General features: G+C 38.3%; 1 protein-coding gene and 1 non-coding gene across 8 annotated transcripts in view; both read left to right on the top strand.

Moving 5' to 3' along the window:
* PANK1 (pantothenate kinase 1) overlaps window positions 1-27,098 on the top strand; it is a 65,748-nt gene extending 38,650 nt beyond the window's left edge. For 5 of the 7 annotated variants that reach the window (NM_148978.3, XM_017016334.2, XM_017016333.3 and 2 more), the window contains 5 exons: window positions 7,088-7,341; window positions 12,604-12,780; window positions 13,273-13,396; window positions 17,816-17,941; window positions 22,128-27,098. In NM_148978.3, the coding sequence (NP_683879.1) occupies window positions 7,088-7,341; window positions 12,604-12,780; window positions 13,273-13,396; window positions 17,816-17,941; window positions 22,128-22,187 (741 nt within the window). In that variant the 3' untranslated portion in view covers window positions 22,188-27,098. The remainder of the gene's footprint in view (window positions 1-7,087; window positions 7,342-12,603; window positions 12,781-13,272; window positions 13,397-17,815; window positions 17,942-22,127) is intronic. The other 2 variants (NM_148977.3, NM_138316.4) reach the window with 2 other exon arrangements.
* MIR107 (microRNA 107) lies at window positions 13,766-13,846 on the top strand. Its single transcript, NR_029524.1, has one exon. It is a non-coding gene; the product is annotated as a microRNA 107 (primary transcript).

The raw sequence follows: 27,300 nt of genomic DNA, 5'->3' as shown, positions 1-27,300 counted from the left end.
ATGATTGTGCCACTGCACTCCAGCCTGGGTGACAGAGTGATACCCTGTCTCAAAAAAACATGAAAAGAAAAGTGGGAAGGTAGCAGAGGTTGTTGGTTTGTGAGGTTTAAGGAAAGAAGCCATGTCCATAACATTAAAGTGCAAGATAAAGTACTAAGTGCAATGTAGAAGCTGCAGCAAGCTAATCAGGAAATATAGTTAAAGTCACTAATGAAGGTGATGCATTAAACAACAGATTTCCAGTATAGATGAAATAGCCTTATATTGTTTTGGAAGAAGAGGCCACCTAAGACTTTCATAGTACAGAACAGAAGTCAATGCCTGGCTTCAAAGCTTCAAGGGACAGGGTAACTCTCTTGTTAAGGGCTAATGCAGCCGGTGACTTGAAGTTGAAGCCGACGCTCATGGACCATTCTGAAAATCGTGTGGCCCTTAAGAATTATGCTACATCTACTCTACCTGTGCTTTACGAATGTAACAATAAGGCATGGATGATAGTACATCTGTTTATAACATGGTTTACTAAATATTTAAGCCCACTATTTAGACCTACTGCTCAGAAAAAAAAATCTTTTCAAAGTTTTACTGCTCATTGACAACACAACTAGTCACCCAAGAGTTCTAATGGAGATGTAAAAGGAAATTAATGTTTTCATGCCTATTAATACAATATCCATTCTGCAGCCCATAAATCAAGGAATAATTACAAGTTTCTAGTTTTATTATTTAAGGAATACTTTTTTTTTTTAAAGAAATACTTTTCATAGGCCATAGCTGCCATAGATTACAATTCCTTTGATGGATCTGGGTAAAATCAATTAGAAACCTCTGGAAAAGATTCACTATTCTAGATGCCATTAAGAACATTTCAGATTCAAGTTGGGGGAATAAAATAGCTTTAGGAGGAGTTTGGAAGAAGTGAATTTCAGCCTCATGGACAGAGTTCAAGATGTCAGTGAAGAAAGTAACCGCAGATATGGTAGAACTAGCCAGAGAACTAGAATCAGAAGTAGATCCTGAAGATATGAGTGAATTGCTACAATCTCATGATAAAACTTGAAAGAATGAAGAGTTACCTCTTATGGATGGGCAAAGAAAATGGTTTCTTGAGATGGAATCTCCTTCTGGTGAAGATGCTGTGAACGTTGTTGAAATGACAACAAAGGATTTAGAATATTACATAAACTTAGTTGATAAAGCAGTGGCAGAGTTTGAGAGGATGGACTCCAATTTTGAAAGAAGTTCTATGGTGGGTAAAATGCTATGAAACAGCATTCCATGCTGTGGAGAAATCTTTTGTGAAAAGAAGAGTCAACCAATGCGGCAAACTTCATTTTTGTTTATTTTAAGAACTTTTCCACAGCCACCCCAACCCTCAGCAAACCCTGCTTTGATTAGTCAGCAGCTCTCAACATTGAGGGGAGACCCTCCACCAGCAAAAAGATTACTAATCTGAAGGCTCAGATGATTCGCATTTTTTAGCAATAAATATATTTTAAAATTCAGGTATGTCCTTTTTTTTTTTTTTTAGACATAATGCTAGGCTGGGCTTGGTGGCTCACACCTGTAATCCCAGCACTTTGGGAGGCCGAGGTGGGCAAATCACAAGGTCAGGAGATCGAGACCATCCTGGCTAACATGGTGAAACCCCGTCTCTACTAAAAAATACAAAAAAATAGCCAGGTGTGGTGGCAGGCACCTGTAGTCCCAGCTACTCGGGAGGCTGAAGCAGGAGAATGGCATGAACCTGGGAGACGGAGCTTGCAGCGAGCCGAGATACTGCCACTGCACTCCAGTCTGGGAGACAGAGAAAGACTCTGTCTCAAAAAAGACATAATGCTATTGCACACTTGATAGACTACAGTATAGTGTAAACAACTTTTTTTTTTTTTTTTTTTTTGAGACGGAGTTTCAGTCTGTGCCCAGGCTGGAGTGCAGTGATGCGATCTCGGCTCACTGCAACACCTGCCTCCTGGGTTCAGGCGATTCTCCTACCCCAGCCTCCCAAGTAGCTGGAATTACAGACACATCGTGACCATGCCTGGCTAATTTTTGTATTTTTAGTAGAAACGAGGGTCTTACCATGTTGGCCAGGCTGGTCTCAAGCTCCTGACCTCAAGTGATCCGCCTGCCTAGGCCTCCCAAAGTGCTGGGATTACAGGCATAAGCCACCGCCCCGTCAGTGTAAACAACTTTTATATGCACTAAGAAACCAAAATACTCATGTGACTTGCTTTATTGCAATATTCACTTTACTGAGGTGGTCTGGAAATCAACCTGCAACATCTTGGAAGTATGCATGTAGACACTTGTGAGTTTTGTCCAGTCCAAAGCTAACATTGATTAGAAGTCAGAAGTAACTCTTTTAGTTACTTTAAAAGTAAAAAAATTACCTACCCTTTGAACAAATAGGATATAACAACAGTCTTATTCGGTTGACATTAAATTTAGGGCAACAGAAAGAGGTTTCTGATTGCTTTCATCACTTTTTTTCAATGTGTGAGGACTTAAGAATTGGCTTTTCTTATGCCAGAAATCTCCAAGGGACCAGTCTTAAAAAGCATATAATGATGGAAAAGCATCAGGAGCGGGTAGGACACCTATGAATCTGTGGAATGTCTAAACCTAAGAGCATCATTTAGGAACACCTGTTACCTTGGTCCCTATTATTAATCTGAGGACTGATTTGTGATATTGCAGGAGCATAAGATTTGGTAGACACTATCATTCTCAATTTCATTCTTGCTTGAGACTTTGACCACTCATAGATGGCCCCTTTCGTCATTTGATGGAGGGTGGAAAAAGCTATCTGGGGTTGGGGCCCAGCAGCCTGCATTTTAACCAACCCTCCAGGTGATTCTGATGCACTTAAAGTTTGAGAACCCCACTGTACCCCTACTTACTTAAGTAACTTTGGTATTAGAAATAACATTGCTAGTTTTTCAGAGTTGTAGTTGGAAAATTTTCTCTACTTTACCTCTTCCCCTACTTGTTAGTCTTAGGAACAGGAGTAGGTAACTTAACCCACTGACCCACAGTGATGCATTTTATCTGCAAAATAGGTAATAGTGATAGCTTCCTTGCTTAAAGTCCCACAGCCAGGATCTATACAGTCTTTGATTAGCTTCCATTATTTACAGAGTTTGAGTCTTAGGACAAGCTTTGTTTTGTTGTTTTTAAGTTTGAGGAGTGGCTTAAATTTAACCTAATAATTTAGGAATTGGCAGAACTGATACTCTCCAAAAGTGCTAAGGAGAGTTACAAGCAGAGGGATGCTACAGCCAGCACCTACTGGGTTAAAAGAGTCCATGTATGCATCTCTTCCCAATTATGTGTTTATTGACATCACATTGGTAGCTTGAAATTGGTCATGGTCGGGGGTGATTATACGATGGAAATTAGTAAATGCTATAAACTAGGGCTTTTAGTTTCAGAGAGCTGGTTGTTAAACATTTACCAGCATATCTTAGTTACAAAGTATGTTCAAATGACCTGAAGCTTCATTTGCATATTTGCTGGATCTAGCAGTTCAGATTTCTGATCATTTAAGGCTCATTATAGGATCAGCATTAGGATATATATAGATAAAATTGGTAATATGGGAATCAGATTCAGCCCACAGACATGTTTTGTTGGTCTGCAATGTATTTTTTTAATGTTAAATTACCTGTCAGCCCTTAAAAATTGGAAGATTTAACATAAAAATTTGGATTTCTGGCTCTTGAAAAATAGGGTCATCTGGTAACACTGGGCCCTCAACATCACATGGCAACAGTGGACAGCAGGTGAATTTTAAATATATGCAGGTTGACTTGTTTGCTACAGTCCTTATCATTCTGTGACTCTACATCTAGTCAAGGCCTTTGCTCCTTTGTTTTCTTACAGTCTCCTTTAAGCATTTGAGTCTGTGGCCCTTGATGTAAAGGAAACTAAGCCCCGAGAAAGAGTGTTTCTCACTAGCTGAAATCTCAACATGCTGTTTTAAGCTTTCCACAAAGTTCATTCAGTTGTACTAATGGACTGCAAAGTCTGATAATTAATTCCCAACTTGTCCTGAATTTCAGATGTCCTGTTTGAAAAATCCAAGTAGCAGTATGACTCACTGCCTGCATTTGGGACCCTGTCATTTTTCCCAGATGGTGAAGACTTTTGAGGGAGGTCTCTGTAGGGCTCAGTGAAAGTGACACATATTTTTGTTTCCCTGTCTGGGGATGCATGACCTCAAGCTTCAGAGATATCCACCCCTCAGTGAAATGTGTAGAAGAGATGTTTGCTGCTAGCACTTTGTTAGAAAATAATTTTTAGGGAAAAGGTGAAATAATGATGTTTCTTTTCTAGTACGTACGTAGATTATTTGCCTTGGCAGGTTTTTCTTTTTTCCTAGTATAGTTTCAGGAGGTCCAGCAGGACAGACTTTGTGTTTGTTATGTTGGCTCTGGAATTGGCTGTCAATATTGTTGATGAACCTCTGATTAATTTTTAAGCAGTTAACCTATACTTCCAAGACTGGCTGATGAAATTGCTACTTTTCAGTTTGGGGTGATCCAAGAGATAATAACTCCCTGTTCCACATAATAAATGTTTATTAAGCAATTATTATGTGCAGGCCTTTGAGCATAGTGCTAAGGGGCAGCAAGAGACCTAGAAAACAAGCCAGAATGTGACCTGTGCTGTAAGTGCAATGGAAGGCTGTGGAATCAGGGAGAACAGAGGAAATAGTGTTTACACTGCTATGCCCTGCTATAGTCTTTCAGGTCTCCAGATAGTTTTATACCTGTAATTTTGCTTCTTAAAACATGTATAATTACATACATCTCATACAGAAGTTTCACTTGGTAAAAAAAGAAATGTTTAGAACCATTTATGAGGTAGATTTACTTAGCACCATGGGTCATTTAGAATGTTTATTTCAAGAATAATCAAGAATACATCCACTATCTGGTTGGTAACCTATTCTAACTAATTCCGTTCTGCAGGTATACAATCAGAGGATTTTGTTAAATAAGAAATTCAAATGAGTAATGTGAAGTCAAAAATGTTGTCAAATAGGAAATTCAAATGAGTAACATGAAGTCAAAAATTTTGTTTTAGCTCTTTTTTTGTTTGTTTGTTTAGACAGAATCTCAATCTGTTGTCCAGGCTGGAGTGCAGTGACACGACCATGGCTCGCTGCAGCCTTGACTTCCCAAGCCTGAGTGATCCTCCCACCTCAGCCTCCCAAGCAGCTAGGACCAGCAGCATGTACCCCACACCAGGCTTTTTTTTTTTTTTTTTTTTTTTTTTAAGAGATGGGTCTCCGTATATTGCCCAGGTTGGTCTCAAAATCCGTGGCTCAAGTGATCCTCTCACCTCGGCGCCCCAAAATGCTGGAATTACAGGTGTGAACTACCACACCCCAGCCCGTTTTACCTCTTAACTTTTATAATGAAGATAATATCTTTTTGACAAAATATCTGAGTCTAGTACTTGTGTAGGCTGTTTCCAGACTCCAGAAGCAGTACCCATTATGACAATGAAGACACGAGAAGTACAGCAAGTCATTGGGAGATATTTGCTAGTTGTGTCACTTAGGGAAAGTTATTTAAGTTCTGTGAATCTTAACCATAGAATAAGGTTGATAGTACCAACTTTTAGGGTTTTAGGGAGAATTAAATAATCTGGTACAAGGGTTTAGCATGTAGTAAACAGTAAATACTTGCTATTATATTTTTAAAGAGATTTTTTAAAAATTTATATTGGGTCTCTTAAATTATCTTCATTTGTTCAGTTTCATGTTGGTGATTGTTAGATTTTTTTCTTTCTTTGGTCCATGGAAAATGATGTTTCCAGATCTCTGGGCCAGTAGTAATATATTTGAGGATCATAAATTAAACTTTTGAGAAGGCAAAATGGCTACCAGACCCTAAGCCTAGCCCTCAGCCAGGTCATTCCCCTTTACCTTTTTGCCCCTGTACATTTTTGTCTCACAGGAACATAATAGGGCACTTGGGGACCACCCCAGACATTAATAAAAGAGCCAACATTTTTTGAATGCTTTGTATTTGCCAAGGCTTATGTAAGCACTTTACCTATATTTTTAGGTAATCTTCACAGCAACAGTGTGCAATGAATGTTATTATTATCTTCCCCATTTTACACATGAGGGCACTGAGGTTTGAGAAATCATTCAGTTAAGTAAATTTTAGAGCTAGAATTCAAAGCCAGATCTAACTACAGAGCCCAAGCCTGGAAAAAGGGGAGTAGGGCTTTGTGGGCTCAAAGGTGATTCACCCCAGTTCCCAGTCCCTCGGGACTTCATGCTCTACCAAGGAAGTATAGCATTTTTGTTGCTTTCTGAATATTCTCAGTCTGCTCACCCTGTGTAAGCACCTCTTTCTTGGCAGCATTCCCTATTAGATTCCTGTCACTGCTATAACAAATAAACTTAATGGTTCAAACAACAGAAATTTATTCGTTTGTAGTTCTTAATGCCAGAGGTTCAAATTCAAAGCATTAGCAGGACCGTACTTCCTTCAGTGGCTCTTGGGGAGATGCCATTCTTTGCCTCTTCCAGCTTCTGGTGGCTGTCAGCATTCATTGGCCTGTTGAGCAGCACTCCAGTCTCTGCCTTTGTCTTCACATGGCCTTCTCCTTTGCATCTTTTAAATCTCTCCTGTGTGTCTATATGCTTGCCATTGGACTCAGGGCCCACCCCAATAACCCAGGATGGTCACTTCTTCTCAAGATACTTAATTAGATCTGCAAAGACCCTTTTTCCAAATAAAGTCACATTCACAAGTGCTCAGAATTAGGACATAGTGCCATCTTTCAGGGACCACCATTCAACCCACAACACACGCTGATGGGTGCATTTCAAACAATCAGGCAAGCTCTTGTCCTTTAGCATGCACTGTGGGCAGGTATGACATCTAGCCAAGGCTACTTTTCCAGTGCAGTGGCTGATTATCTGCAAGATTTTACAACTTGTTTTAAGGGTGTCTCCATGCTTTTCATGTGAATGACCCCATCTTAAATAAAACCTCTGGGGCTTCCCCTTAGATGGTCGCCTATCTCACAAGGTTTTATTTTGTTGTGTGTTTTGTTTTAGATTGCTGACCTGCAGCTGCATAAACTGGATGAACTGGACTGTCTGATTCAGGGCCTGCTTTATGTCGACTCTGTTGGCTTCAACGGCAAGCCAGAATGTTACTATTTTGAAAATCCCACAAATCCTGAATTGTGTCAAAAAAAGCCGTACTGCCTTGATAACCCATACCCTATGTTGCTGGTTAACATGGGCTCAGGTGTCAGCATTCTAGCCGTGTACTCCAAGGACAACTATAAAAGAGTTACAGGGACCAGGTAAACATGTTTCTGCTTGTGCTTGAACCCAGACCTCTTTCTTGATGACCAGTTTATAGTAAAAGGTTATTTATATTGAATACATTTTTAAAAGAAATATCTTGGCCTCCTTGGCCAACCAAAAAGAATTTATCAAATGGTGTGTTAAAGTGGTATGTGGGTGATTTATATAAATGTTAATAAAACAGTTCTTGCCTTGATAGAAACTTTGGTCAGGTTGAGGGAAGAAGGATCGCACACACCAGAAATTTGCCAAGAAGGAGGCATACATTAAGTGCCAAATGATTGGCAGGGTCAGTAGAATTCAGATGGAAGGATACTTGGGATGGTCACAGATGACTTCAGAAGGAACCTTCTTTTGGACCCTCATTGATGCCTAGCTCGGAGTGACTTGCTTGAAATAATATACCATTCCAAACAGCAAACCAAACTATGTCTACAAAGAATGTTTTTTTACCCTCAGCCAAATGCTCCACCTGAAAACTGGAATAGTCAGCATACCTCCTAGGGAATTTTGGAGTGGAGTAGACAGGGAAACAGCCCCATGGCCATGGTGGGGCAGAGGGCCTTGTTTTTCAGTGCACACACCCCAAGGCCCATGTAAGAGCCAAGGGGCTCAGCTTCCTGTTAACGGGTATTCAACATGGGAAAAACATCTAGGGTCAGATCTCTCTAAGACATCACAGTGTAAACAAAACTAAATAGGTTTTCCTTAATTCTAGGAGGAGGATTTGATATGAAGCATTTCTCCAGCATGTGGAACCATAGAACCCATTTTTAGAGGAACAACTTAGGAGATTAGTGCCATGTAGAATGTGCTTTGGGACTTGATGTTGAAACCAGTGTTTTTGATAGATGCAGATATCGTGTCACTTCTCTGGGTCTCAGTATCCTCATTTCTGCCATGAAGGGTGCTGTTTCTTAGATCGCTTCTACAGACTTTTTCCAGTACTGAAATTCTGCAGGACTACTCACCCATTAGGAGGAGAACATTGCTTTTGCAGTACATTTCCATGACTTGTGATAAATGAGTGGTTCCCCACTGAAGAGGGGAAGATTTAACAGTGTCCCCCAGGACATGTTTGACATCTTTTTTTCTTTGGTTGTTACAACTGGCATCTAGTGGGTAGAGGTCAGGGGTGCTGCCAAAATCCTATAGTACATAAGGTAACAAAAAATTATTGAGCCTCAAATATCACTAATGCTGCTGTTGAGAAACCCTGGCATGCATGTACACACACAAACACACACACACATTCTAATTGAAACCTACTTGTGTCCAGAGTATAGGCTTTGTTTTGTAAGTTAATTGCTACCAAGTATACATTTTCTCATTGAGAATATAGAAGTTTGCTTGCTCACACAAGAAACAAAACTGACTCCGTGACCTCATGAGGACTGTCAGGAATATCAGAGACATGAATATTTCAGCTGAGTTGGTTTTACATTAGAGAGTGATTTGATAAACATAATTTTTAAACAACTACAGACCGCCTCCCAGAAGGAGTAATTGAATTGGTAAAGCTAGTCCCAAGGTAACAGCAAGCTATACATTGTTCACCATTAGAGATATCTAGTTTTATTAACACTTAACAATTTAATGAATTACATCACAGGTACACTTTCTTAAACTTGGAGGCTCCGCAGATCTGGGTCATCTTGGATAGCTGCAAAGAAGCAAACTGTGGTGTTTGGCTTCTATTATGTGTGTAATAATGTCTATAAATATTGGTAAATGCCCATTAATGTCCAGTATTCTCCAGTCATCAACAAATTCTGTCTGGATGTTCAAGCTTCCCTATAAACTCTCTCTTCAATCAGTAGTTTTGGAAAGGTGCTACCGAAGCCTGCAGGTTAATAGAGAACCCTTTCAGGGGCTACCACGAGAAGGGAGGGGAATGAAACATCAAGTCTGTGGGGCTGTGATCCTGATCCAGAGTTGTTTTGCCAAAGGTTTCTTTTAATTCAAGTTAGGAAACCTCTGACATAAACGATTACAGTTAGCAGTGAAGTTAGTATCTATGGTTAGTATGAGTGTGTAAAACACATTTTGGGAACCACTGTTTTAGCAAATGGCTTAGCTTTAAGTTTTGCTACTCCTATTGTGAACTGATAGCTGTCACTCCAGGTTTTTTCTTATTGTATTATACCTGATTTTCCCATTAAACATTAAAGATGTTTATTTTTAAGAAGCTACACAGGATGTCAGTTTCCTTTTAAACATGATTTCAAATGGTTTATTTCAGTGTTATATATAATTTTGTTGCATCCCAGATTGGGTAGCAACATTTTTTTCCTAGTGACACAACTCGAATTATAGAAGTCAATGGAAGAAATAGTACTTCATAGCTGACAGTAGAATGTGTAATCTGTTAAAAGAGGAATGCAGATAATTTTGAAACTTTGGTGAAAGTAGCAGTACATCTCATCTCATTATTTTGGAATCTGTTTTAAGGGCATGAGCACTTAATTGAAGGTTTCTTCTGCTGTTTCCTAACATCCCCCACTATGATGTTGTTTGTTTTATTTTTAAATGATGATAATATTCTACAGCTTTTTCTTGCATTGTTTTTCTCTCTGATATACTGAGAGTTTTTACTGTATGCCTACTGAAACAAACAGATGCATCTGATTGTGAGCAAGAAAATCACTTGATTAAATAATGGTTAGCAGGTTAAGGATATTAATAAAGTGCTGGGAGACATTTGGCTCTTCTGCAGCCATGCATTCTTTCCTCCTATCTGCAGTGCACTCACTGTGCAAATGCATGCTCGCTTTACCTCATTTGCTCCAATTCTTTATGTGGAGTTGTCTGTCATTTTCCAGTCATACAAGGCACTTGCCCTTTTTCATTTATACCAACACATCAGCCAATGGGTTACCTTCTTTCTAAGTTAGCCAGTGTCTTCAGTTGCCTACCTTTGGAGTGGGTTGTTGAATGCCTCGATTGATACAAATCCTTAATGTCCAAAGAAAGATTATTCATGGGGATGACAGATATTTAGAAGCTAGAAATGGAAGCAAAGACATCTTTCTAAAAACACACAGGGAGAAAACAAAACAAATCCAAATAGCACACAAACCAAAACATGTTCCCACCGTAGTTTTGTAGGTAGGCTGAAACCAGCAATGTAGAATGACATACTGCATTAAATGTGAATAAAGATAAACTTTCTTAGAGGAAATCCAAAGTTTGTACTGTGACTAAGTTGTGAAGGTAATAATGTACATGGACCTCTTCCTTTACTCATGGAACTGCATCTACAGTTTGGGTATCTGCTACTGGTGGTACCTAGCTACATAATTTTCCATGAAAACCCATAATTTCAATCATATATATATGTGTGTGTGTACATATATATATTAGTAAATGAAGTTATATATATATATATATATATATATATATATATATATATATTTTTTTTTTTTTTTTTTAAGATGGAGTCCGGCTCTGTCACCCAGGCTGGAGTGCAGTGGTGCAATCTCGGCTCACTACAGCCTCCACCAGGGTACAAGTAATCCCCGCACCTCAGCATCCAGAGTAGCTAGGATTACAGGCGCGTGCCACCAAGGCTGGCTAATTTTTGTATTTTTAATAGAGACAGGGTTTCACCGTGTTGACCAGGCTGGTCTCAAACTCCTGACCTCAGGTGATCCACCCACCTTGGCCTGCAAAAGTGCTGGGATTACAGGCATAAGCCACCACGCCTGGCCTCAATCAAGTATACTTTTATACAAATGACAATTTAAGAATATTACACATAGTTTCACTATTTCATTTTATTTTATTATTTTTTGAGATGGAGTCTCGCTGTGTCTGTCGCCCAGGCTGGAGTGCAATGGCACAATCCCGGCTCACTGCAACCTCCACCTCCTGGGTTCAAGCAATTCTCCTTCCTCAGTTTTCTGAGTAGCTTGGATTACAGGTGTCAGCCACCACACCTGGCTAATTTTTGTATTTTTAATGGAGACAGAGTTTCACCTTGTTGGCCAGGCTGGTCTCAAACTCCTGACCTCAAGTAATTTGCCTGTCTCAGCCTCCCAAAGTGCTGGTATTACAGGCATGAGCCACCACGCCCGGTCAGTTTCGTTTTAGATGCATCTTCAAGAACTATGTACCTATCTACAGTTTTGTACCTTCTTGTTAACAGTTATTGACATTATTAAACATAACCTTAATCCCAAATTGATTTTATTCTTAGAAGTAAAAGCCAGTGCTCAAACACAAATTGAATTTCCAAAGCTAGTAGCTCTTTGGGGCTTCAGAACAGATGGATGTGAGCAGCTCTTCTTCATTTACTCTTCTACATGGTAAAGAAATAGGAAAACCTATGTCCATTAGCTTTAGGAATCAATACTCCTTTTCCTGCTGGGAGTTCACTGGCGATACTTTACTCTGAATCTGCTTTTCTTTCCATTAGGTAACTTTGATATTAATACACAATTGAGTTCATTCTTGGCTACTGTAATTACTTTCTAATTTTGTCTAGGCTGTTTTAGAGGAACTTTCCCTCTAAACAAGTCAAAGCTTTTTAAATGTAGTTCAACCATTGGAACCACTTTATGACCTTTGTTACTGTTTTTTACTATGGAGTGGTAAGTAATATACTAAAAACCTTCTGGAGAGTCTACTAGGAAAAAATTCAGTATCAGATCAGTGGTTCCTTTCTAGAAATATTCAAGGAGGCTAAATGAGATTATCTCTGCTAGAGAAGCAAGGTCAGGTAAAACACAGCTTTTAAGACAGGCCACTCCTGGCACAATCCTGGGTCAGTTTTGTCATCAGAGGGTTTGGCTTCATAGCTTTGAACTATGCTTTATGTACACACAAATTCTTTTTCTAGGTATTTATATTCAGCTGCATATGGTTTTTTAATAGGAGTTATTTCTTGGTTATTTGCTGCTTTCAGACCACCCAAATAGAAGAGATCATGATTTGGCCCCATTTCATAGGTGGGAAGGCTGAACAAAGCACTCAGGTTAGTGGCTAGTTGAAGGTCTCACAACAGAAATCAGTGAGAGTCTTTCTTTGGTTTTGTTCTCAAATTTAGGGGCAAATTTTCCTTGATGTTTATTTTTAGTCTCTGCCCTCTTTTCATATCCAGTCTACCCTAAAGCTCTGTTGCACCCTAGCACTTTAATTCAAGTGCCCCTTTGTTCGTCTGCTTTTATTCACCCATATTAATAGTCTTGACGTAGTTGGGGACTTGGATGGGCATATCTTAAAGTAAAATTTAAAAATAAACCTTATTATTCCTTCAGTCTTGGAGGTGGAACATTCCTAGGCCTATGTTGCTTGCTGACTGGTTGTGAGACCTTTGAAGAAGCTCTGGAAATGGCAGCTAAAGGCGACAGCACCAATGTTGATAAACTGGTGAAGGACATTTACGGAGGAGACTATGAACGATTTGGCCTTCAAGGATCTGCTGTAGCATCAAGGTAGAGATTAAGTAGCTAGGAGCAGTAGTGATTAAACACAAGGCAGCCTCTCCACCCTGGCCATTCACTAAGTTGTTTTAAAATGTCAGTCCACCAGCCTGGTGCAGATACCTGTTGTATCAGAGCTCAGACTTGATCTCCTGCCCTTGATGAAGCACTGAGATGTTTAGCTCTTGATGCTTGTTCTTAAAATAAGGCAACTTTGAAAGAAGGTTCTAGAAAACTGCAATAGTTTCACCTGTTCCATTCTTGTCCAGATATCTAGAGGCATTAATTTTCCCCCCCCATTAATGGACATGCTACTTTGTCCCTATTAAGAAAAGGGCGGTCAGCCATGCATACTATAATTCTGTCTGCTTATAAACCATAGTAGCAAAATTGGATCACTTGAGTTTGAACAGTTACTCGTAGAGCCTTCCACAATACTTTGGTGGAAGGATGGGCCCTGCCTGAGGACGATTTTGAACACTCTCGCTGATATTTCCAACATAGCTTTGGCAACATGATGAGTAAAGAAAAGCGAGATTCCATCAGCAAGGAAGACCTCGCCCGGGCCACATTGGTCACCATCACCAACAACATTGGCTCCATTGCTCGGATGTGCGCGTTGAATGAGGTAAGGCCTTACTCAACCCGGTGAAAGCTGTGTGTCATTCATATACATCATCTTGGCAGTGCAACACCTGTTGACTCTTACACAACTACATATCCTTAGGAAAGCTTCCCTTTACTCTAGTCACACTTTACAGAACAGGAGGGGTGTGTGTTGGGGGAGGGGGAGGAATATATGCTTTATTTTTAAGAAGGCACTGGATGATAATGAATGATAAACCATTCACCTGTGGAAACAGGATACAATTACAACCCATGTCATAGTCTCTCTAACCATCATTATTGCCATGTGTCCACTGAAATGTGAGGAAAAGGTCTGAGCATCCTTGCACATAACTGCAGGTAAAATGCTCGACTTGCAATATTCGATATTCTCTCTGCTTTCAGCTTCTTTACAGTGTTGCCTTGTGGCATGGAGTTCAAGCAGCATTGTACAGGGCTATCAAAGCACAGAGAGCTTGCTACAGCCAAGGCCAGCCAGAGTCCCAGGCACAAAAAGGGGTGGAGCTGGTGACATACAAAGTTGTATTAACATGTTTTGAAGCATTGCAAGATTCGTTTGGAAAAAATTGAACCTTTTCTGAAATACAAGGTGTATAAAGTAGAACTCTTCACACTGAGGTATATTAGAAAGACAGGAAAGAGGAGTTGAGGCATGGAACAGGTCATAGGAGAGTATTAAAGAACCACAGTAGATCTGTAATGGAGTTTTTATAAATACAGCTTTTAATAGAGGTGACATACATACAGAAGAAGGCTCAAATTATAAGCTTACAGTTTAATTTACACACACAAGCAACCCTGTATAGCCATCACCCAGATCAAGAAATAGAACATTATAGGTACTCAGAAAGCCCCTTGAGCCCCCTCTCAGTTGAATAGTTGAATGTTAGTGTATGAGGCAGTCTTTATGATACATGGGTGTTAGCCCTGCCTTTGAGTTCTGGGTTGACAAAAAACATACTCTCCTTGCATAACACTGAACAGAGTATGTTACTGGCCTGCAGATCAGCGATATACCTTTTTGGAAGCCCTCAGTTCAGACGGAGTTTAAATGGGAGGCTGATACTCAGAGAAAAGAGCATTCCAGAGATGTTTTTTCAAAGTCCACTTGAGTCATGGGACTCAATGTAACAGAGTTTATTTCTTGACATTAACCTTTAAAGGGAATTTTTCCAAGTAATGAAACAAGCCCCAAGACCAATATGTGTGTAGTTGGCTGTACTCATGGGCTCTCAAAGGTCAGCTGGTAACAACCCTTGCCCCACAGAGCAATAGATGCCCTTTCCCCTACTTTCCGCAGAGCTGGCTTCTTGTGCTTTTTGCTGGAGTGAGCCAGCAGGTCAGCAGGTCTTTTCACAGGCATCAGAATCCCTTTGGGAGAGAGCAACTGACTTTACTTTTCACTTTTGATTTCAATTTCAATATTGTTGATTGGTGGAGTAGAGCGAGTGCCAATTTGAAAATGTAGCCATGTTATACACTGGTTTGAGCAACTATTTTATATGTTTCTGTGGGGCTGAATGAGTGAAGGGAATCACCAGTCGCCTTGGGGCCAAGGCTCTACCAGAGGGTGTCCAGTCAGTGCAGACTCCCAGTGGCCGCACCAGTGACTGGCAGTGTTGCATTTCCCATGAGAGCAGCCACCAAGTCCCTCAGTCCTTGCTTTGCTCTCTGGAGTCACTGATTTGAGAACCTTTGATTGCAGCCATTTCATTGAGGGACACCACGTTTACCAAATCTAAAACATTTTTGCTGTGATTCTTGAGATGCTGTGAAATGCTTCCCCATCAGTTATAAATTTTCTGATTCAAATTTTTGGATAGATAATACAAACACATAATACAGACTTCTAAGACATTAGAAGGATACACAAGGAAGTGAGTCACCATTTCCACTTCTGTCTCTCAGTGTTAACCTCAGTAGAGGCTGCCATTTTTTTTAGGGTTTTTTTGTTTGTTTTTATTGTACGTATTACAATATATCTTTGTTTATATTGTATGTAATGTAGGATACATTTATCTTTCCAAAGGTAGCAAACTCTATATAGCATTCTTTTTACAAAATAATAGCTTTATTGAAATATAATTATATGCTATACAATTCACCCTCCATATACTATTCTATATCTTGCTTTATCAGCTTTTTATTAAGAAAATTCATAAACATATGTAAAGGAGAGAGAACAGTATAAAGAACCTCCATTAATCCATCAGTGCAGATTCTGCAATCATTAAGGCTTCACAACACATGCTTTCTCTATATTTTCTTCTTCCTCCTCCCTCTGGTCCTCTCTCCTTCTTCCCTCTTTTTTGCTAAAATACTAGAAAACAAATCCCAGATATTATATCAATCTACCCTATATATTTTAATAAGCATCTCTAAAAATACTGCCTTTTGCTTTTTGACGTAATAACGCATCTTGAAATTGATCATATCAGTATATTTTAAATTGCTTCATTTTTAATGGCCATATAGCATTTTAACATATAGATATGCTGTTATTGATTTGTTCAATTTCCTAATGATATTTAGGTTTTTCCAGTCTTTTACTATTATTTAAAAATTCAGTGTATTTGTATACGGTATACACACATATATGTACACACATGTATATTATTTTGCCTACATGTGAGTATATCAATAGGATAAATTCCTAGAAGGGAACTTGCTGAGTCATCGGATATGTTGATTGTAATATTAACAGATATAAAGTTCCCTCCATAAAGGTGGTTCTAATTTACATTCCCACCAAGCAGGGTTATAACGGTACAAGTTTCTCCACAGAGTTATCAAACTTTTTGATTTTTTTCAATGTAATAGGTTAAAAATTATACCTTATTTTGGGATTAACTATTAATATTATTTACTCATTACTCTATTGGGTTGTTGGACTTTTTTTCTTGTTGATTTATGGAACTCTTTATTAATTAACAAATCCATTTTATGTGAAATGTACTGATAATATTTTCCATTTATTGCTTCCCGTTTGGATTTGTTTGTGGTGATGTTTTTCCCCGAATAAATTTAACTTTTTAAAGTAAATGTAGCAATTATTTTGAGATGATTTCCTTTATTATGCATTTTCTACTTCAACTTTTTTTTCCAATTCTTCCATATTTTTCCCTATCTCTTTTTCTTTTCTTTCTTTCTTTTTTTTTTTTTCTTTTTTAACATCTTTGACCCACCTGGAATTTATTTGAAACATGGAATGCTCTTCCAGTTTTAATGCCACTTCTACTCCTTCTGACTTTCTATTAGGGTAATGCAGGACTGGGCTTTGAGCAAATCCTCCCTTGGACTCCCCTGTTTTGGGAGAAAGGGCAAAACTCCTCAATTTAATTAAATTTCTTTTTAGTCTGAGTTTCTTAGAGTGTTCCTTGCTACCTCTTAGTTTGGGTGATTTGTGGCTAGTTTTTTGTTTTTTTTTTTAATGAAAATTTATTAAAACTACCTCCACTCCTCCACCCACGGAAAATTTTCAGTGGCTAATGGGTTAATGAACATTCATTGTTAAAACTTGAGGCAGTTAAAAGGTGATGTTCCCAGACCCTGATTACTCTTGATAGACTAAGCAGAAAATAATACCAGCTTCAAAGACTCTCTTGCCTTTGATATGAGTGACCATAGCAACTGGCTCTAAGTGAGTGAGTGAGTGGTGAGCAGTCTCTGCATGGTAGACAGGTTGAGCTCCAGTTTGAGCTTAAGAAATATCTCGGGGAGTGGGAAGTATAACGAGTGCACTGGAGCTAGAAGCTTACGGGATTTGAAGCATGTCTGCATGAACCGGATAGGAGAGGAATGTTCATAAGTGTATGTTCAGAATGCAAAGCCACATCCATGATGACAAAAATAGAATTATTTTTTGTTACCATATTTTAACTCATGTGTTGGCCAAACAGGATATTCCACCACATATCCTGAGGGCAGAGACTGAGTATTCTTTCTTCTTTGTATTTCTAGTGTCCAGCACAGAACAAATTGAGCATTATTCATTACACAAATAAACCATACCATAGCCGTTTTATTTGTGAGTTGGTTATAAGAGTATTTTATACCTAGAAGTTGGGGGATTGAGGTATTACACATGAAAATTTAGCTGAACTTGAACTCCAGTTAAAATTGTATATATACGTATGTTTTGAGAGCTTAATGTCAGACGTAAGGCAGTCTGACATAACACCTGCAAATAAGTCCAATATCAGTTTCTGCCTTGCCCAACAAAAATCTCAGCCTCTTGTTCTTGTGGAATGCACTATAAGGTTGGTTTAACTTCATTTTGGCGATGTTGAAATAATTCCACCAAAAAAACAAGGAATATTCACTCTTCAAGGTTCTGTACAGAGACATACAGAACATTGGGTCTTTGCCAAATGCTATTTTTATGCCATGATTCAATTGTTTTCTTTAATATTTTTTCCAGAACATAGACAGAGTTGTGTTTGTTGGAAATTTTCTCAGAATCAATATGGTCTCCATGAAGCTGCTGGCATATGCCATGGATTTTTGGTCCAAAGGACAACTGAAAGCTCTGTTTTTGGAACATGAGGTAGGTTGAGCTTGCATAGACTTACTGTCATATGTGGAGTATATTTTGGTTTGGCTAACATATCAGCAGGTCTCTTAGCTTTTTAAATTGGTCAAGTAGAAAAGTTGCCATTTACACTTTGCATTTACACAAAGGATAAGAAAAAAGCATATATAAAATGGAAGCGTTCTTATCCAACAACCAGGACTGGTAGTTGGTTAATTTAATTTTTTAAAAAGTCACTGGAAATGTAAATTAGGACAGTCATTATAGAAAACTGCATGGAAGTTTCAAAAAAACTAAAAATAAAATTACCATATGATCCAGCAGTTCCACCTCTGAATACTTACCCAAAAGATTTAAAATCAGTATGTCGAAGAGATGCCTGCACTCCCATGTTTATTGCAGCACTACTCACAATAACTAGGTTATGGAATTATCCTAAGTGTCTATCAGCAGATGAATGGATTTTTTTTTTAATGTGGTACATATACACAATGGAATACTATTCAGCACTTAAAAAGAAATTCTGTAATATGCAACAACATGGATGGAATTGGAAAAAATGCTAAGATAAGCCAGGCACAGAAAGACAAATACTACATGTCCTCACTTATTTGTGGAATCTAAAACAATCAAACTCATAGAAGCAGAGAGTAGAATGGTGGTTACAGAGGCTGGCGGGTAGAGGAAATGGGAACATACATTTCAAACTTGTAAATTTCAAATGTTCTCACCAAAGAAATCTAAGTATTTGAAGTTATATACATGTTAATTAGCTTGCTTTAATTATTTCACATTGTATTCATAAATCATAACCTCACTTTGTACCCCATAAATATATACGATTATAAGTTGTCAATTTATAATAACATTTTTAAAAAGTTTTAAAGTCAGATAAAATGAGTAATCATTAATGAAAGCTTTCTTCAACCATTTTATTATACCTTAAAATGTGTAAATGTGCACTTACTTACCAATCTTTTGATGTGAGACCAACGCCTATTTTTGAGCATGGTTTCTCCGATTGGAGTCCTGTAGTTATCTTTCTTTCATAATCTACAATATTATGCACCTCCTTTGATTTCCAGTTTGTTTCCTTAAAGTGGATTAAGAAGATAAAGATACTTATGAAGTAAATTGGTTGCAGAATGTTTACAGGTTTTTCTCTCTCTCTTTCACGTTGTGGCATCCACCTAAGTAGACAGCAATTATTTCTGACTACCTTTTTCAATATTTCTCAAGAATTTAACTGAATTTTCATAGAACTGACCATTAATTTGTGCTCTTTTTATTGATTTAGGTGGTATATAGTTAAACTAGATTATTACATTACAATCAACCTGTCATAAACAAATTTAAGGATAAACACAGCTGACTCTTGGCAAGTAAGCAATTCAGCTGGTAAGAACAGAAGTGCTTGGGCTACTAAGAGTAGCTTATTGGCCTTGAGAGGTCAGTGTACCTGACCATTAGTGAACCTCTTTACAAAGGAAATGGAGAGTGTCAGTAAATTCAGAGTCCCTTATTGGAGTTTCTTTTTTTTTTTTGAGACAGAGTCTCCCTCTGTCACCCAGGCTGGAGTGCAGTGGCGCAATCTTGGCTCACTGCTACCTCCACCTCCCAGGTTCAAGCAATTCTCGAGCCTCAGCCTCCCAAGTAGCTGGGATTACAGACGTGCGCCACCACACCTGGCTAATTTTCATATTTTTAGTAGAGGGTTTCACCATGTTGGCCAGGATGGTCTCGAACTCCTGACCTCAGGTAATCCACCCGCCTCAGCCTCCTAAAGTGCTGGGATTACAGGCGTGAGCCACCCCGGCCCCCTTACTTGGAGTTTCTACCATAATATAAACCAAAAAGTGGGGGCCCTTCTCTCTTCCACCTCCTCTGTCACCTCCTTTAAAATCAATGCTGCAGTGCTGCAATGAGCTATCACTGGAGGTATCTAATCTCTTGTATACACTGCAGCAGAAAAACATTGAGAGAGCTGGTATTGTCAATTTCAATTGTAATGAATAACTACTGTGCCATTTTTTTCTCATTTTTAAGCTGAGCTATTTATTTAAGAAGTTACCAATGCATTTAGAGTTATTTAGAACTCTCTATGCCTGCATTTTGTTTTATTAAAGTATATGAAACAGGTACTTAAATACAAAATAGTTAAGGCCCAATGATAGAAATTCATACTAAAGAAAGCTCTTGTTTTTAAAGCAGACTTTAGGCATTGAGTGAGGGGGAATGAGGTCCCAGAACCTCCACTCCCTACCCCCCACAGCCAGAATACCTGATTATTTATGGAGTTTCCATGTAAGGTTTTGTTTGAAAAAGAAAAAAACATCTCAGCCTTTAAAAAAAATAATGAAAAAGGAAAAAGAAAACTCCTGTTCTAGTCCAGATAGAGTTGCCATTTTTAGCAATAAAAAATACAGGGTGCCCAGTTATTTTATCTGCCATTTATCTGTGTCTTATCTGGTAACCATAAGTCCAGATCTTCTTGGCCTAATGCAGACAACAAAGCCTGGAAACTGTCAGGGATAAAAAGTCTTCTATAACATCAGGTGGGAAGTTAGGTGGTAAGATAGGAAATAAAAGCCAACATTTTGGGGAAACTCACTTCTGTAGGTAAAAATGTAGTCGCCTATATCACCCTGTACAATCCTAAGCCTCTGTGGACTCTGGCTTTGGTTTGTTACCCTATATCATAACTCAGTCTCTATGGCCAGTGAAAATGGAGTATTCTTGTAACCCTCATAATGTGTTCCTCAGAAAATTCTCTACATTCTTAAATTCCCTCTGGCTTACGCGGGCCTTACTAGAGAATATTATGGAGAGACAACTTTTGAGAAGCACGGGTATGGTGGCTTTCTGGTCACCTGCCCTGGCCTTAGGAGTCCTCACTAAATTTCTCATTCATTCAACTAATGTTACTGAACATCTCTTAAGAGAAGTCATCTAGCCAGGTAGTTAAGAACACTGCGTTTTACTGACTGTGAGATCTTAGACAATGACTCTGTCTCTCCATTTCTGTTTTAGCATTTGTAAAATGGGGCAATTATATTTGTCTCATAGAGTTATTGTGATGGGTAAATGAGTAAATCCATGTAAAGTGCTTAGAACAACTTCTAGCATTAGTGGGGCCTCAATAAATGTAAGCAGACAGCAGCAGCAGCAGCAGCAAAGATCCATCCACATCCTGCCACACTCACACCTACTGCTGCAGTTATAACTATTGAGTTCAGCAAGTGCCAGAAGAATGGAGCCTCCTGCCTTTTGGAAACAGATTGCTGTGGACTGATTATTTGTGCCGTGACCAACTTCAAATGTCTATGTTGAAATCCTAATCTACAAAGTGATGGTATTGGGAGGTGGCCTTTGGGAGGTGATTAAGTCATGAGGGCTGAGCCTTCATGAATGGGATTAGCATCCTTATAAAAAGGTCTAAGGGAGCTCCCTTGCCCCTTCCACCACGTAATCCAGCCATGTGAGATTACAATGTGAAGACAGCTATCTGTGAGGAATGGGTCCTCACCAGACACCTTGATTTTAGACTTCCCAGCCTCTAGAACTGTGAGAAACAAATTTCTATTGTTTATAAGCCACCCAGTCTAGGGTACTTTGTTATATATAGCAGCCTGAACAAACTAACACATAGTTCTCTAAAAATTTATATTTTTTAGTTCCTTTCATTTTCATAGACGTATGGTCTTTTATTTTACAGATGGGCAAAGTAAGGCTTGGACTAATTTAAGTGCCTTTGCAAGAGCTACTGAGGGAAGTTTAGGGTTTTCTCTCATGAAATATAGCTTTAAAGTCAGACAGATTTGGTATTGAGCCCTGGTACAAGACCTGTGACCCTGCAAGGGTAATTTACTTTATTACCTTCCATTTCTCATATGTGAAATAATAGTCAGTGTTTTGCCATGACAAAGATAAAGATGAAATAGTTATAATACTAACAACCCTGGCACACACTTAGCACACATGTACCAGACATAGTTCTAAGCATTTACATATGTGAATGTATTTAATATATATAAGTAGGTGTCCAATAAATTATAGTTGTTATTATTCTGCCATGTTTTGTGACACACAATTTAGGTTTTAAATTTCTCTTTTATCGATATTAGTGGCATTCCTAGAATTATTAAAAACAATACATATTTGGCTAAGGTTCAGAGATCATCGTTTTGTATTGTTTTCGTAGGGTTATTTTGGAGCCGTTGGGGCACTGTTGGAACTGTTCAAAATGACTGATGACAAGTAGAGACGAGCAGTGGAGGAAACAGCCTCCCAAAAGGACAGAGAACTAAAAAATTGCTGCTGGAGAAGGTGAAAGTCGCTTTGGGACGGAAGCCAAGCCATTATGGCAGATGAACCTGCTGGATTTGTAAATAATTTAAAATCCTTCCAGATGATCTTTTACTCTTAGGTTTTGAGCTAATGATTCAAAACGGGGGAATATAAAAGGTTTTTTTTCTGTATACTGTATTTTTTTAAAAAAATGGTGCAGCGTGGCCAAACCTACCAATTGTATGCATTAACTTTGAAAAGTTGTTTGATGTTTAAGAAGGACCTGATATGTAAGCGCTGGTCATTTTTCTTCTGGGGTTTACTGATCAGTGTGGTGATTTTAACTTCATTTAGTAATTACTCTAGGAGATTTTACCTTGACTTATATTTTTCATGACGTTTCATGATTTGCTGTTGGTTTCAAATGAAACTACAAATCTGGCATGTTTTACTGTGAACACTTTTGTTATTTGTTTTGTACCCTTTTTTGTCTTGTTTTTCTGTTTTAGTTGTCTTCTGAAAAAAGAGTCGTTCCCTCTGTTTCTGTCCTCAGATGATGTCCCTCCCCCTACCTGTAACCTTTCTTTGACATAATTGTTCATATCAATGAAGGTGCTGACCAGCTCAATACAAAGTTAAGCACAAGATCTAAAGCTCTTGAAAATGCCCGTGAAGAGAAGACTGAATGTGTTAATGAATTTAATGAGTCTGGCAAAAGTTGCAAATTATATGCAAGTTTGTCCTATCGCTTATAAATGTAGTGTTTCATTGGATTTATTTTATGCTAGGTTATATTAAGTTGAAATAGTCTGTGATTAAATGTCCTCATCCATGCACAGAATATGAATGGCAGCAAATCTTTGTGCAAGAAATTTGAAACTTATTGGGAAAAGCCTCCCAGTAGATTAATTGTTCATATCAGGAGATTTAGGGTAAGTCATGGGTTGAGGTGTCAGATAGTAATATCTATTTGTTTTGTACATGTATATATCTAGGAACTTTGTAACAACACATCTTTAATAATGTTAAAGGTTTTTTCATTTTTAATATTTTAAACTAAAAACTGTACTTCAATCTCAGTTTCTAAAATTAAAAATAATTTATACTGATCTATATATTTTTTCTTTTTGAAAGATTTCATTAAGACTGATGGGTAACTTTCAAATGAGGGTCATGTACAAATATTGGGATGCATGAGATCCCATGATCTTGTGTATTGAGCTTATTGTTGAAAGGGATTTTTGAAGGACAGAACAATTACTCCATGATGAATCTTCCTTTCTCTGCCTTCTGAGCACCGTCTTTAATTTCCATATCTTCAAGTCTTGAAGAAGTTGATGTTAATTGAAGAATTCACTTGTCTGGTTGAAATAAAGCCTGTTTCTGTTGTGATGTTTTTAGTGTATATGTTATTTTCATTTCTTAATTCTCATGTTTATAGTATCTGCTTTGTACCATGAAATGACTGTCTGTTGTGTTTTTGCTACTCTACATTTCAAAATTGGAGGCTTTCCCATGAGTGTGGTATGGTCCAAAACACTGTCTTCAGGTGAAGCTGTAGCCCTATGCATAGATTTTTAAAATAGAGCTTTATTGTTTCTATACAAGTGACTCCTTAATGCCAACTACCTCTGCTATATTTGGTAATTCCAAAGGAGTTTCAAAATTTGGTCATCACAGATACATTTTACCAACTTCTATCTGGCTTTAAAAAAATTCAGACAGCTAAAGTGTTCTTGAAAAGGATAAGTTAAAAATCTACATATTATTTATAATTAGTGCCTTTTGATGGCCTCTTCTATTCCTATTCTCATCTATCAGGTAACAGCAGACCTTGATTCCGCAGATCATGGTTCTACAAAGGAAATCAGGGCAAGTTAGTGTGACTGTATTTTTTTTAATTATCTGAAATCACTTGATCTCTCATTACAAACATTTAAAATATTGGTGTAGCTGAGAAAATACATTATTCCATTATACAAATATCAGTTAAATGTTGACTACATATAGCCAGCCTGTTTTTTACAAAAGAGATCTTGTAGCCTGAGGATTTTCACATTCACTTGAATTACAGAAACTTTTCTTAGAATCAACATCACAAAGAAACTGGGAAGACTAAAGAATTTTGACCTTGTGCAATATGAAGTAAGAGCATGGCTTTTTATCGTGAGGCAGCTTCAGTCTGGGTCCAGCTTAGTCAGTTACCAGTTCAAAGATATGCTAAGCCTCTTTCTAAACCATAGTTTCCTCACCTATAAAATGGGACAAATAATTGTTTTACATACATATTTAAAGAGCTCAGCACAGGGGTTGACACAAAGTAAATGCTTCATTAATGATAGCTACAATGAAAAAATAAATTATTTAAACTAATTTATTAAATCAGTAATTCTTAACTTTCTGGATTGTGGGAAACCCATGTTAGTATGGAGATGTTTCACCAATCTCCGTATGCTAATACATATCCACAGCTCCTTGTCCACACTTCCAAAATCCCATACTTAAGAAATCTATCTTGACAGCTCACTTGGCAGCAAAAGCTGACTTGAGCATTATTTCTCACATGTAGTAGGGCTCTTCACATGTTTTGTTGCAAAGCTCGTCATGAGTTAGATAACAGGATACTGACTCTGACAGGGGTGTTAAGTAATAAACGATTTTGAATTGGCTGGGTGTGGTGGCTCACGCCTGTAATCCCAGCACTTTGGGAGGCCGAGGCAGGCGGATCATGAGGTCAGGAGATCGAGACCATCCTGGCTAATACGGTGAAACCCCGTCTCTACTGAAAATACAAAAAGCTAGGCATGGTGGTGGGCACCTGTAGTCCCAGCTACTTGGGAGGCTGAGGCGGGAGAATGGCGTGAACCTGGGAGGCAGAGCTTGCGGTGAGCCGAGATCACACCAATGCACTCCAGCCTGGGAGACAGAGTGAGACTGTCTCAAAAAAATAAAATAAATAAATAAATAAATGATTCTGAATTTTGAAACACATCTGATCCCGAGTTTTAGACAAAGGGATTGTGGAAATATAGTTGTGTTCTTCACCTTATGCAGTATACATGGATTCAGAGTCTCTTTGTTGGGAACAATTGTTATAGGTAATGTATACTTGATGTCGTTCAGTCATAGAAGGAATATTAAGAAGTTACTCTGTGCCAGGAAGGAACTGGAGACTAAGATGCATAGGATACAGCCCCTGCAGAGAAAGACAGCAAAATCTCAAGCCAACATCAGTCATCAAGTGCCACAAGTGCCATTCAATCATTTATTCATTCACATTCACAGCAGTAAACAGAACAAAGATCCACCATCACAGAGCTTATATTCTAGAAGGGAAGACAGGTACATTACTAAATATATAATGTTAGATCAGTACTACAAAGAAAAAGTAAGCTGGTGTAAAGGCTAAATAAGGGGTAGTTCTATTCAGAAAAATGAGAAGGGGAGGAATATCTCAGGGTGGTCTAAGACAGCCTTTCCTAGGAAGTGACCTTTGAGCAGAGAGTTGAATGGAGGTGAGAACACATTGTGTAAATGTCTGAGAAAATATTTTTCACTCCTGGCAAATGAAAATAGGGATTTGAGGAACTGCAAAGAGGCCAGTGTCTGGAGTTAAAAATAGAAAGTGGTGGGAGATGCAGTGTTGGGAGTAAACTTGAGCCAGGTCCTATAAGAAATCTGTGAGGGTAGTGGCCTCTACCCAGAAGAGAGGTTGGTCATTTGTCTTCCAGAAGGTGCTAGAGAAGGTTTTGTGAAGTCTTAACCAAAGAATAGGAATCACTAAGTGGAGAGGAAGGGAGGGCTTTCCAAGCAGAGGGAGCTGGGTGAGCAGAAGCGCTGAGGGAAGAAACCACTTGGCTTATTCAGGGACTGGAAGCTCTTTGCTATAGCTGGAGCCTGGTTCATGAGACAGAAACCAGGTAGTGAGAAAGAGGAAGCTGGCCCAACTGTGGAAGGACTTGTCTTCCATGCTAACATTGCGGACTTTTCCGTAGTCACTGTGGAGCCATCAAAGAGTTTCAAGGAAAGTGAAACTAGAAATAATCAGGTTTCAAAGTGGTAAAGCAAAATGCTCTGTTGAAGTAAATGAGTAAACAAGTTACGTACTTTTGAATACCTAACATTATTCCATTTTTTTCCCTATTGTGCCAGACCTCATGCAGTAGCTACAGAGTGAACCATGCTTTCGCTGTAAGTAGGATGGCTATAAAAATTATTGAGAACTTTCTCAGAGGACACAGGCTACTAATAGCTACAGCCCCACTATGAGTCTATTCATTGAGCAAGAAGGTTTCAATACTGGGAGCATCGTAAACTATCACTCACAAGAATTGTTAGAAAGCAGTTTTCCTCCCAGTGATCAGAAGATGACGCCACATTTGTGAAAAAGATTTCATTAGTGTACATCGTTTATTAGGTCTACCAGCTGCCCATTCTTTTGCTCATCTGTTTAATTTTTAATAAATATCAATGATCTGAGAGGCATTGGGTAGCACTGAGGATGCAATCCGATGTGAACAAGACTTCAGGAGCTCTGCTTTCATTAGGCTTACATTTGGTTAATGGAGATAAACTTGAAGCATATAAACCAATAAATAAACAAGAAAATATCAGGGAGTGACAATTGCTATTAAGGAAAGAAACAGGGTGATAGGATAGAGAGGGAGGAGAGAGACTTCTTCAGTCAGATGATCATAAAATGCAAGTATGATTAAGTCATGGCCTCAACTTTTAAGGAATGATGGGCTCACCTTGCTTTCATTCTTGCCACCTCCTCAATGAAAATGAAAGATGTTTTTGGGAAACTGATAGCTAATTTTCTTTTTCTTAGAATATTTGATTTAGATAATATGTATTTAAAATAAAGTTATCACGTAAAATAATATATTGATTTAGTAATGCACCTTTTTTCCCCTGCTCATTTAATGAAAAAATATTATTTGAACTGTTTACTTGAATCTTTATTGTTAATGATTTTGTCATGACCAGAGTCATTTAATAGTTTCCACAGCACAAGTTTGAAATTTAATACTTTTTAAATTTGTGATGTGTTGACCACTGGGTTTTTAAAAAACCCAGCCACAAAC

The sequence above is a fragment of the Homo sapiens genome, chromosome 10 (genome assembly GCF_000001405.40).
Source record: "Homo sapiens chromosome 10, GRCh38.p14 Primary Assembly".
In the NCBI taxonomy this organism is placed as follows: domain Eukaryota; kingdom Metazoa; phylum Chordata; class Mammalia; order Primates; family Hominidae; genus Homo; species Homo sapiens.
The sequence above is the reverse complement of the archived record's forward strand: the minus strand, read 5'-3'. Positions and strand labels throughout refer to the sequence as shown.